The sequence below is a fragment of the Homo sapiens genome, chromosome 8, assembly GCF_000001405.40.
Source record: "Homo sapiens chromosome 8, GRCh38.p14 Primary Assembly".
Classification (NCBI taxonomy): Eukaryota; Metazoa; Chordata; class Mammalia; order Primates; family Hominidae; genus Homo; species Homo sapiens.
In genome coordinates this window covers 112,647,197-112,661,249 of record NC_000008.11, presented here as the reverse complement: position 1 = coordinate 112,661,249, position 14,053 = coordinate 112,647,197, and the positions used below count along the sequence as shown (strand labels likewise).

Here is a 14,053-nt window from a genome sequence, read left to right as displayed (position 1 = left end):
CAGCCATTTTAATAAAATGTAACACTAGTTAAATAGGCATAAACTTAAATTAATTTCTATAGCGTTACTTAGCACGTTTTACTCTGCCACTTTCTTATTCTTTTATCTATTGATTAAGACACAAATCTTTTAAATTAGGCTAGAAGTAAGAAAGTCTAATTGAAAAGTGATTTTCAATGTAGGATTTATGCACAGGAACAATAATCAGTCTTGTGCGTAGATCAGAATAGGCCTTGGGTGAGGAATGTTTCCTACAGTTTAAAGATTTTGGCTTCTCCCCATGGACATCACCAAGCTGGACTTGTCAACCGTGCCTCATTTCTTAATCCTGAAATTACCCACTCAAATCAATTATAATCTCATGGCTTCTTCCACTTCCCTAAAACCAATCATTAAAAAATCATTCTTTGTTAATTGGCCCAAACACTGGAATAATCAGGAGTTACAATGCTTTAAGAATTTATTAATGGTATTTTCAGTATTTTAGAATAAACAGAGCACATTTATATCACATATTTCCTTTGAATCTACCTTATATAAATAAAATAAATTAAGTCCCAAATTCTTCCAAATGTTGTAAACTGAAATAAACGCTCCTTTTAGGGCTTGAGCCTTCTATTTGCCTTTCCTTTACTTCCACCCCAAATCCTATAAGATTATTGAATTGGAGCTAAGAAAAAAAAATCCTTAAATATCTTCTTCCATTTGTTCTTCTCTAAAGACCTTTTAAGGGTATGAGGTATTGGTTGAGGGCTGTCTATATTCCATATGCTTTGCCAGAAAATTGGTTCTTTTAATAATCTACATCTTACACAGATATCACATGGTTAGCAGTAACTCAGTAGCAAAGGGATGAACAAGGTATTTCAATTTTAAAAATAAGTGAATTTTATCCATTAGGGCAGCAACATAAAATAATCACTTTGAAATCAGACATAAATATGCCTATCACTTCCTTGATCAGTGGCCTTATAATGTCTTGGTGCTTTATTTTTTTCTAAAGATTGTTTTAAGAAATCGAATATTATTTCTAAAGTATCTAACACATAATGGATTCTTGAAAATATCTAATTCTCTTTTGATTTCCAGCCAAACTCTTGTAAGGACACTAGTTGCCAACTCTTTAATAATTCCTCTTATTCTGAGAATATTCTTGAAGAAGCTGGTTCCAAGAAATGATTTATTACAGAGTCATGTCACTTACTTTCCACTACTCGTGAGTCATTTAAATTTGTTGAAAACAAAATTTGTAAAAATCAGATAATATATTTAACATGGTGGCATAGCTATTTTGTAGTTTTTTTCTATATTCTCAAATGGAGAAAATGATTAGAATTAACCTACAGAAAGTAATATTATTTACCAATATATTATTCATTCATTTTCTCTTTGAGATTGTCTCAACAGCTTGTCAATAAAACTACAAGAAATATGATTTCTTGTAAAATACAAAACAAAATAGCAATAACACCAACAAACATGTTTTTAAAACCATTTACCTCTTCTTAACATATCCAAACATTTAACAATTCTTACTCTCAGATCTGCAAAGGAATTTTTGTTTTTGTTTATTCCCACACTTTCTAAATTTTCTCAATATCCAGCAGCTCCTGAGTCTAAGAGGTATTCATTTTACTATCCATCATTCAAAGTGTATTTTTCGGTTCCTTTTCCTATCCTCAGCTCCCTGAATGCATGCTATCACTATCAGTCTTTCAGAGAATATTTTTTTAAGTTAATGAGGACTATCTCAATTTGGTTAGGAAGGGTTTGGATTACATCAAGAATGTTTTTTAAAGACAACAAAAATTGAATAAGATTAGATCCAATTTCATTCATAATAACATTTAGTGCTACCATAATATTTGTTTAGCATATACAATAAATTTAATTTCATAAACAAACATGAGACTGAGGCAATTCATGAGAAATTTATACAACTATTTTAAAATAGAAAATGAAAGAAATTCAATTTATTGTGTAACCCTATCCCATTTTGCTTGTTATTAGAATGTATTTTTATAGTTCCTCAGGGCAAATCTGCAATGATTTTCTTTTTAAAGATTCACTGGTACTGAACAATGTTCTTTATATCACCAGTTAATGTTGCTATTCTATTAAGAATTAAGTCTCTTTATGTTTCAATTTGAAGTAATCCCTGACTCTTCCGTGCATTTTAATTTGGCTGCTGTCAGCTGACTAGCTATCAAAGTCAAACTCCAATTTCAATATTCACAGTAGACTGACTACAAAGCAACCAAATAATAGATTGACAATTTCTTTTTTTTTTCTTTTGAGACAAAGTCTCACTCTGTCACCCAGGCTGGAGTGCAGTGGTGCGATCTCGGCCCACTGCAACCTCCGCCTCCCAGGTTCAAGTGATTCTCGTGCCTCAGCCTCCCGAGTAGCTAGGATTACAGACGCCAACCACGCCTTGCTAATTTTGGTATTTTTAGTAGAGACAGGGTTTTGCCATGTTGGCCAGGCTGGTCTCAAACTTCTGACTTCAGGTGACTCACCCACCTCAGCCTCCCAAAGTGCTGGAATTATAGGCAAAAGCCACTGTGCCTGGCCTAGATTGACAATTTCTAAGTATATGATCATTTATTTAAAGAACTTAGTGTTCCTTTATCTTTCCTTCTCTACACCATATTATTGAAACATTTATGAAACACATACAGTATATTCCAGGTCACAAAATTAGAAGTAAAATACACTTCAAAAATTCACATATACTGTTTACTGATTAATAGGAGGCAGTTGTGCTTCCTGAACAGTATTAAATTATATACTTAATTTTGACTAACGTGTCATATGCTATGTTCATAATAATATCAGAGACTGATACGATATAATGAAATAGAGTTTCTAACCTTTTTTGAATCCATTCAATTAGTTCTGGGCATTTGTTTGACCACATATGAGTTTTATTCATTTTGGTTTTGAGGAATAAAGTGGTTTAATCTCATAACACATACTGCAAAAGACTGGCAAGTATGATAGTAAAAGTGATTCTCTGAAAATTAGTGGGCATTTCAAACTAAAAATTATTTTTTAAAGTGTACTGGAGATAAAACTGGAGAAATAAAGTACTGAAACTTTATTGGAAAGTGCATTTAACATGAGTAAAAATACATGGTTAATACTAAAGCATCCAATTATGTTGGATACTTTTTTGTAAAACTAGTAACTACCCTAGAGAAAAGAAAGACATTTTTAACTGTAAAATACATTCATTTTTTCTTTGATCCAATAAATATTTATTGAGTGTCTACTATATGCAAAGCATTGACAAAAACACACTGCTTAACCTCATGGAGTTTATAGACTTTTAAGGAAGACAGTTGTCTAAAAAGTAAACACTACTGTGATTAGTATCACAAAAGCCACAGTAAATTGTGGCAGTAGAATAGGAAATAAAATAATCTACAATGTGAGGACAGAAGAGGTCTTGCTGTTCGCATATTTAAGCTGAAACTGAAAGATGTGTAGGAAAACCTTGGTTAAAGCAAGGAAAAGAATTTTCGAGGCTTCAAGATCATCATAGGCAAGGGAAAAATATTTTAGTACTCCATGAGTTCACATAAACATTTTTCCACAGTTTAGATCTTGGATCTAGATTCAGGATATAGTATAACCCTGAAGTGCAAGGGAAGAATACAAAATGCTATTTTTTTAAAATAGATGTTATACATGTTAAAAGTAGCCCTGTGTCGATTGACGTTTATAAAATAAATTAATATGTTTTAAAGAATTGAAAACAGCAGAACAACCAAAAATCTAATAAGATCAGACATCATAGAATAGAGGTTAGAGTCAGGGAGACTTGGTTTTGATGCCTACTTTTGTAATTTAAGATAATGTAATACTATTTAAGTTTTGAAGGTGGCTGGGTGCAGTGGCTCACGCCTGTAATCCCAGTACTTTGGGAGGCCAAGACAGGTGGATCACTTGAGGTCAGGACTTAGAGACCAGCCTGGCCAAGATGGTGAAACCCTGTGTCTACTGAAAATACAAAAATCCGCCAGGCGTGGTGGCACACGCCTGTAATTCCAGCTACTCAGAAGGCTGAGGCACAAGAATTGCTTTAGTCCAGGAGGCAGACGCTGCAGTGACCCAAGATGGCACCACTGCACTCTAGCCTGGTTGATGGAATTAGATTTTGCCTCAAAAAAAAAAAAAAAAAAAGTAAAAAGAAAAAAAAGTTTTTAAGGCTGTGGTTTTCTTACTTGGAAAGTGGGTTTAATAATATGAGCTACACCATAGGGTTAATGGGAGGATTACAAAAACTAATGTCAATGAAGTCTTTAATAGAGCTGCTGATACTTTAATAAACATCAAATGTATCATCATTAGTTACTACCTACTTAGAACTGTTGTTTTCAAATACAAACTTTATCACATGTTTAAAGGCAGAAATAGATTTGTCCAAAAATTTTGTATAAATGTTATGTATCAATAAAAAACACTTGAATAAAAAATAATTATAAAAGCAGATGTCAAATTTGAAATGTGTGTGTTATTAAGATGATAATCTAATTATCTGATTGAAAATAAATGTAAACCACATATTTTTCCATAAAAATAAGGAAGACAACCAAAGATAATTCCAAAAATATGTTTGGTTCATGAACAGTCCAGTTATAAGATAATTTATAATATTTGAAAGAATCTTAGGAACAATACATAACTTTTTAATAATAATTTTTCATAGGAATAAGAGCTTATACCTTTGGCATTCACAAATGATGGTGTCTTAAATGATATCTTAGATATTAGATAAGCTAAAGAAAATTATAATATAAAATGGAAAAATTTTAAATAGGAATTTAAATAGCAGTCCAAAGCATTATTTCCATATATAGTGTTAATTCTAAATATATTTTCACATGTGTCTTTTAATCTTAGATTTCAGACTGAACTGAATTATGATGTTCTGGAAGTTCATGATGGGCCAAATCTTCTGTCACCCTTGCTTGGATCTTACAATGGCACCCAAGTGCCCCAGTTTCTATTTAGTAGCAGTAATTTTATATACCTTCTATTTACAACAGACAACAGTCGTTCCAATAATGGTTTCAAGATTCATTATGAAAGTAAGTAATGATAAAACTTTTTGATTTCCTCATTCTGTTTGCCCTACTTTTTGTATTATTATAGTTTTACTAATGGAACTATTAGCTCTATTTATTTTAAATCAAAGCTTTCCTTCATCTATAAGAATGTTAATGCTTTATAAGGTGTGTGTTTTAGTAAATTCTGCAATAGATTTTCCAGCAATATCTATCTAATATCATTATGAAACAAAATACTAAAGAAATATCAGAAGCATCAAATCATTATTTGAAAATGAGGTTTTGTACCAATTATTTGTGTATAGTTCTGAAAAACAGATAATAGACAGTAATTGCCAGTCTAAGATATATATAAACAATAACATTTTTAGCATTTACTTCACAAATTCAGTTATTCTTTTATAGTTTCCTCACACTAATTGCACATATTTTCCATTTAAAATATTTAATTTTATTATTTTGCATAAAATGTTGAAAATAATATTAAAATTAAAAGGCAAACTGTATATACATATATTCAAATATGATTAATATAAGTCGAGAAAACTATATTAATACAAGCTATAATTCAGAGTGTTGGAATCATTATAACCCCTATTAAATCTCATGGTTTTGTTTAAAAAGTCTAAAATATTTTGATTTTTGAAACATTTTGATGCTGATATGAACACAGAAATGGGCTTTTTTTCCATTTATAAACATCTTGCACATGTGTGGCTATATTGCATAAGATTTATGTGTGTGCAAACATATAAATTTACATATGTGTACATTTTCATCATGAATGCATAGCCATATACTTTTACGTGAAATGCACTTTTGATAAATTAATCTAACAACACACTTAAGAGGGTTATTAAAATATGTCTTTATTTCAAATGCAGATATTATATTATTTATTTTAATATTCAAGTTAATTATGACCCTTTCCCCCTCAAGAAGAGATTTCTGCATTTGAAATATATAGTTTTATATTTGCTGTTGGGCATCTATCTTCAATAGATATAGTCAATGGACTCATGGGTTTTTAAAATAATTGTCAATATAGATCCATTAGTTTTTTTAAATCATCTTATCTACAGTATTGTTTGACTATATTAACTTCCCATTATTTTGAGCTTTGTGGCATGAAAGCATATTTTGTAAAAATCATGGTAAAATGCAATAAGAGAATGCACACATACTTGGGGGTTCAAATGAACTAAAGTGCCTTAACTGATATTTTGAGTCTAACATGTATTTACTAAACCTGAGTCAAATTAGTCATTTAGAAAAATCTACTTCAAAACTAATTCTCACTAGTAATTAATTGATATCAATATGCAGGCAGCTTTTCTTTTAGTCCATTGCTGTATCCTTTACCCAGTAAATCGTATTCAATCCCATTCCACCCAAGGTATGTGGTCTTTACCAAAAACAGGACTATTTTAAAGATTAAATGAAACAAAACATGCAAAATGTGTCAGCATAACTGGTAACATGCAGTATGTTCTCAATAAATGATAGCCTTTACATTTCTCCTACAAAAACTAGTCAGATAAGGAATAAAAATAAGAAGTCCTGCTCAAATGCATACCTTCAGTCAGCAAGTTTGTCACTTACAGGTCCTTAGTGGCATAGTCCAAGTTATTTTCGAGGGCTAGTGCCTTAAAAGGCAAAGTGGAAGCTGAGAGCTGACAAACATTGAGGTTGATTAGAGACACACTTGTTATTAATTTGGTCAAATCTAACAAGATGAAATAACTTTGTATTTAAATTTGTCTTTAAGAAATCACCTTCTCTCATTTTATTCTATTAGTCTTGTGGTATATTTACTCCTGTGAAATAATCTCCAACATCATAAATCCTTTCTTATCAAGAAACCAACAAAAGCCTTTTCATTCATCTCTTTCTTACTGTTTCCCAAGCTGAAGGTAACTAAACTATCTTTTTCAAATGAACCATTCACAAACCTCAAAATCAGTAGATTGCTAATGAGAACATTAACAATATATTTGGCATTTGGTGTATTTCTATTTTTTTAATCAAATTCATTGAAAGTGAAAGTAATTTGTCTTCCCCAGGCAACCAAAATCCTATAGGAAGGAATGCTTGCAATGCCACCATTGTTTGTACTCCAGGTTTCTGTTATATTTTTTACCCCATTCTTTTTTTTTACCCCATTCTATCTGCCCCCCAAAACATGGGGATTACAAAAACTATCAATAAGATAAGGTTGGCTGGGTGCGGTGGCTCACGCCTGTAATCCCAACACTTTGGGAGGCCAAGGCAGGCAGATCACGAGGTCAGGAGTTCAAGACCAGCCTGACCAACATGGTGAAACCCCATCTCTACTAAAAATACAAAAATTAGCCAGGCATGGTGGTGTGTGCTTGTAATCCAAGCTACTCAGGAGGCTGAGGCAGGAGAATCACTTGAACCTGGGAGGTGGAGGTTGCAGTGAGCCGAGATCACACCATTGTACTCCAGCCTGGGTGACAGAGTGAGACTCCATCTCAAAAAAAAAAAAAAAAAGATAAGATTATTTAGAGGTTTCAAAACACATTAAAATTATAACAACATAGAGTAGACTTTAGGAATATAATTTATTTTTATTTCTATAGTTTTTCCCCAGGAAAAAATCACGTCTGTTTATTATGTTGTATTGCTTGAAATATGACTATAATTAAGTCTTGGATATCTAAATATTATACAAATTTTAAAATTGAAAATGGATACAGAACAAACGTATAGACATATATTCATCTCCAAATATGTATTTTTCATATGAACGTATAGATGTATTTTCCAATTAGGAAAATGTTAGACATCTAAAAGAATGCACAATTTATGATCAATAGATATTTGAGGGGAGGAGTAGTAGAAACAGAAACATAAAATGTTCAAACGTTGTATTACATAAATAAGAAAAATGTCCATTTTGAATTTCTACTTTTTAAAAAAACAAGCTCTATAAAGCAATAAGGAAAAAGATAACATGTTAATGTCATTTGATATAATGCAGACATGAACTTCTGAAAATTATGTACATTGCCAACATTTAAGAATTTTCTAAAACTAGCTGGGCACGATGACTAAAGCCTGTAATCCCAGCACTTTGGAGGCTGAGGCGGGAGTGTCACTTGAGGTCATTAGTTTGAGACCAGCCTGGCCAACGTGGTGAAACCACGTCTCTACTAAAAATACAAAATTTAGCCAGGAGTGGTGGTGCATGCCTATAATTCCCACTACTTGGGAGGCTGAGGCAGGAGAATTGATTGCTTGAACCCAGGAAGCGAAGTGGAGGCTGCAGTGAGCCAAGATTAGCCACTGCATTCCAGCCTGTAGGATGGGTGAGACTCTGTCTAAAAAAAAAATCTTCTAAAGCTACTTACCAATTATGTTTTAGTATTCAGTAATGACTATCAGTTAATAAATAATACTGATATCAGTTCCTCATGATGTTTCTCATTTTCTCAATTTTGCAACATTTCCATTGCCTTGCATTATGCCTTGAGTTATTTGCTTGTCAATCAATTATGAACTATTTCTTTAGACTTATTTTGTGACTCCTAGATCAATGCACCACAGTGGAAGACATAAAAGAAATACATCATCTTACTTTATCAGTTGAAAAGCCAAGAAAGGCAAATGAATTATTAACCCCATATATTCATTGACCTTTACTATAGGTCAATGAACAAAAGCATTACAATCACTTTTGAATAATTAAATTTTACTGTAATTTACATTGTATATGACCACTGCAACCCCCATTTCTCTGATTTTAGACGATTTTACTACAATGTTAGAGGTTCATGTAAAGGAAAGTTATATATCACCTGGAACATTGGGGGAAATTGAAACCTGAAGGAAGGGGGTCTAAACTTTTCTGTTAAAGGTTGAGAAGATTGTGTACATTAAGAGGACAACTGAAGGTATTCCTATGAGACAAAGCCTAAAACTAATGAGGAGACTTATCTGATTGATATAAAAAATGACCATTGGGAGATAATGACAATTTAGAATAGTAAAGTCTAATTTGGGAATCTTAATTTTCAGGGTGACGACTTTGAACATGGTGCCATTAGCCATAGGGTATTAAAGCAATGAAAAAACATGTTTTGGCTATACGTATGTCCAACATTTTATATAGAATAAATTGGAGATGAAAGATACTGAAAAACATGCTAAATGTTATTGTTTGTTTCATAAACTTGAGGTGATGAGGGCCTTGGATAGGGTAAGAGAAATAATACATGACATGATGCTTTTCAATGAGAATGGATTTCAGACATATTTTGTGGAGGAAAAGAGTGAGGAATCAAAGATGAATGAGAGTTTAAAAGCACTGGGTGCTGGCCAGGTGCAGTGACTCACGCCTGTAATCCCAGCACTTTGGAAGACTGATGCAGGAAGATCACAAGGTCAGGAGTTCAAGACCAGCCTGGCCAGCATGGTAAAACCCGTCTCTACTAACAATACAAAAAATTAGCCGGGAATGGTGGCATGTGCCTGTAGTCCCAGCTACTCGGGAGGCTGAGGCAGGAGAATTGCTTGAACCCGGCAGGTGAAGGTCACAGTGAGCCGAGATCACGCCATTGTACTCCAGCCTGGGCGACAAAGCGAGACTCCGTCAAAAAAAAAAAAAAAATGCACTGGGTGCTTAGAAAAATAATGGTCACACTTAGAAGAGGAACTTAGCAGATAAAAGTAGATGTGTTGAAGATAAAATTGTCTCTATTGTATTTTAGTTTCTCATTAAAATAACACCATTTAGATGAAACGAATATGCTTGATAAATACACTTAAAATGTACAATTTCCGTCTTTAAAATTAAACTTCTATTTTGTACCATTTTGTTTAGCTTCATTTTTGAATTGGGTAGCTAATACAAATAAATATTTTCTCATATAAATATGATTTAATATAATTATACAGTCTTAAAAATGTTAACGACTAATTTTGGAATATAGAAATAGTAGTTATTCATTGTTTAAATATCCTATATAGGAAGAAAAAAATAATTACTTGTTATAGTTTGTACCAGTGGTTCTCAACTGAGGGCATTGTTGCACCCCAAGAAATGTGTAGCAGTATTTGGAGATATTTGTTATTGTCATGATTGGAGAAATGCTACTGGCATCGAACAGGTGGGGGCCAGGAATGTTTCTAAAAGTACTCCAATGCACAGGACACCCACAACACAGAAGTATCCAGTCCAAAATGTCAACAGTGCCGAGGTTGAGAAGCCATATCTTATTAAAGGAAAAACATTGTCATGGTATGATCTCAGCTAGGGATTGTAAATTGCAAGGAAGATATCAGGAGACACTGAAGTGTACTAGAGACTATTGATAACAACAACAGTTAACCACCAGAAGAAATGTGCTAATTGGTTATACTTAGAACGGTTCTGGTGTTCATACTTTCATACCTTGCAAAATGCCTCTACTCTTCTTTTTCCTTTAGTAATTAAATGAGAAAATTTTGTATAATATTTAGAATGGTGCTTGGAATATAATAAGTTCAAGAAATGTTGACTATTGCTATGATTATTGTGATATATGTGTATATATACACAAAATTTATAACAATACAAAGTTTTACAGATAGTTATACATTTTCATCAAGTTCTTATGTAATTAAATGACCTGAATTTGATCCTTACTGGTAGGAAATGAGAAAACAAATTTATTAAATAAATTGCTGATTTTAAAAATGAAGTACGAGTACCTTTATTTGTAAAAATCATTGCTTGTAATTGTTTGAAGAACTAGGAATTATTTTCAGCAACTCCAAATCCCACCAAGCTTACTCTTTATTTTCTTCCCTTTGTTTTCCAGGTGTTACAGTGAACACGTATTCTTGTTTGGACCCTGGCATACCTGTACATGGCCGTCGCTATGGTCATGATTTCTCCATTGGCTCTACTGTTTCATTTAGTTGTGATTCAGGATACAGGTTGAGTCATGAAGAGCCCCTTCTATGCGAAAAAAACCACTGGTGGAGTCATCCACTTCCAACCTGTGATGGTAATAACTCATTTGACATGCAAAATATGCTGATTTATAAACAGAAAAATCAATGTAGTTTTTTATATGGGGTTTAACATAATTATAAATATTTTAGGTTTTTTAAAAGTTCTTTTGATTTCTGGCAAATTTATGTTATCAAACCATTCATGAAATAAAGACTATTGCTAATCAGCCAAACTTACTCCATGCCTAAAGATACTATCTGTGTATCTACCCTGTTTATATATGCATATATATTTAAAACTCACCTGTGTAACTATTTTAAGAACATGCTGTGGACCTTTTCAAAACAGCCTTGAAAATGCCAAATTTGTATGAGAAGAAAGTCCTGAAAAAAATGCAGCATTTGTTTCCTGCCTTGAATGGCAACATGTCCCAGTTCAAATAGAAGGCCAGCCTGTCTACAAAAATTCTAACCAGCTACACAGCACTATGGTAGTTTACTCCGACTACCCTGTTGTGTCAAGTTCCTAGTTATAATAAATAGCATACTAGTGTTCCTTACTGCTTCTTTGTTTCTATGAGAATAAGTCAGAAGTGCTTCATTTTTCAGGAAACACATATGAAATCCAGTGGAGGAAACTGCTTCTCCTAAGATTGGGAAGTGCTTGCATGCTTGCTTGTCAAAAAGCACACTCAATGTAAATCCATATATTATTTAACTATGGGTTTTAATTTCTATTTACAGTACTATTTTCAAATTCTACACTTACTATTTCTTGAAGTGGAAGATACCATTTGTCATTTTATGATTAAATTTTCAAGTACTGTCAGTGCCATCATTTTTTAAACAGTTTTAAGCTAATTTGTTTTTATATGAAGATTTAAACAACTCATCAAAACATCTTCCTTTAATTTGTGATTGTAAGTGACAGAAACCCAACTCTAACTGGTATTTAAAAATAAAAGCAGAAGCTGTTGTTCAACTGTTCAACTAGTAGAAAAGGCAAGGTGGGATAACTCTCATTGCTAATAAGAAGCATAAATTCAAAACTTTTTAAGAACTTCTCCATCTTACACTTAGACTTTTCTTTGTGTATTCACATAATTCTCTTACGCTGCAGACAGGCTTTTTCCGTATGAGGAATTGACAGTAGTGTATACACTCTCAGGCAGATGGAAGTTGATAGCCCTGTATCTTCAGTTTCAGAGAGGAAGGAGAGCTCTTCCCTGTCACTCTAATTAGAAAAATCCCAGGGAAGGTATTCAATTCATCCATATCTAAACTAGTAACTCTAGTGAAGGAGAAGGGCCCATTATGATTGACTTTGTCTTGGTCATGTGCTCATCTATCCCTGTGGTTGAGACAGACCATGGTGGTTTAAAAGTCCTATGTTTGCCAGACCCTAATAAAGCTACAAGGTTGGCCTGAATGAGGAGCATTCACCACGAAAGAAAGGTATGGAGGCAATATTATAAGAACCAGGAAGATAAAAAGTAATGGCAAGCGCATCAACACGCTTAACTTTTATTAATAATAAAAGCAAATATATCCAGTTTTCCCAGGAGCAGCACAGGCCCTCATCATTTTTCCATCCAACCCCATGTTTCTCACTAAGGTTATTTCACGTTATATTCCATATCCAAAATTCTTAATGGCTTTTTATTGCTTAGAAATGAAAGCTCAAATGACTAATCATGGAATTCAATGTCCTTAACCTTGAGAAATCCATCCTTTTCAGTGATGTTTCTGTCCTGCATTCTTACAATGCATCTTTATTTTAAAAGATCAAATCATGTTACTTTTAACCTCTATTATAACCTGGCCTCCTCTTTTGTATTTCTATTTCATGTTGAGTGCAACTGGACAAGGACTGAATTATGTTTATTTAAAAAATGTCTAAGCTGTGTATAAAGCAGGTACTTAATAATAATTTTTTTCTGTTGACTCGAACTGAACTCAACTATTGTATCACCTAGTGAACAGATTTGATCAGACCTTTCCTTTAACAGAAACTTTTGCCCCAGCGGTAACTAGTCCAGATCTCCTGAGGTAACAAGGGAGAAACAGACAAACAGAATTTCTTGCCCTGCTCCAAGAATGTAAACTTGATTGACCTAGGTTGCCTAATGCTTGTGTACAGTGTGCTTCACTCTAACATACATCAGCTTTTGTGATGTCTTTATATCCCATGATTAGCTGATTTACAAAGCAAACCAGACAATGTAGTATGGTGGTAATAATAGTGATGACTAATATTTATTGAGTTTTTACCATATGCTGATACTGCTACAGGTGCCTTATGTATTTTAAGTCATTTTCTCTTCCAAGTAACTCTATAGATAAGTGCTATTATGATCACCACTTGCAGCTGACAATATAAAACAAATGCAACTTAAAACATTGGCAATGTAAAATAATCTCATTTAGAAAAATGAAAAATGTCATTAGGTTGATGAAAATGATGAGGCTGATGATGATGATGGAGAATTATTTCAGTCACATACAAAGCTACTGGCAAATGAGAATTCGGAAGAGATAGATCAATTAAAGAACATAGACAAGGATACTGACACAATAGGTGTTAGGTGCATTAAAAAAGTGATTTGAAGGCCTGGTGCGGTGGCTTACGCCTGTAATCCCAGCACTTTGGGAGGCAGAGGCGGGAGGATCATGAGATCAGGAGATCGAGACCATCCTGGCTAACACAGTGAAACCTGTCTCTACCAAAAATACAAAAAAATTAGCCGGGCGTGGTGGCGAGCGCCAATAGTCCCAGCTACTGCGGTGGAGGGGCTGAGGCAGGAGAATGGCGTGAACCCGGGGGGCGGAGCTTTCAGGGAGCCGAGATAGCGCCACTGCACTCCAGCCCTGGGGGACAAGGCGAGATTCCATCTCAAAAAAAAAAAAAAAAGTGATTTGAAAATGACAGGATTAAATGAATCTCTGAGAAAATAAAGGATGCCCTTGAATTTTTTTTATATATTCATCATTTGTGAGGGAAGTGCTACAAAATCAAA

General features: G+C 33.5%; 1 protein-coding gene across 9 annotated transcripts in view; it reads left to right on the top strand.

The window, feature by feature from the left end:
- CSMD3 (CUB and Sushi multiple domains 3) overlaps positions 1 to 14,053 on the top strand; it is a 1,214,012-nt gene that overhangs the window by 775,690 nt on the left and 424,269 nt on the right. For all 9 annotated transcript variants that reach the window (NM_001363185.1, XM_017013010.2, NM_052900.3 and 6 more), the window contains 2 exons: positions 4,909 to 5,096; positions 10,901 to 11,089. In NM_001363185.1, the coding sequence (NP_001350114.1) occupies positions 4,909 to 5,096; positions 10,901 to 11,089 (377 nt within the window). The remainder of the gene's footprint in view (positions 1 to 4,908; positions 5,097 to 10,900; positions 11,090 to 14,053) is intronic.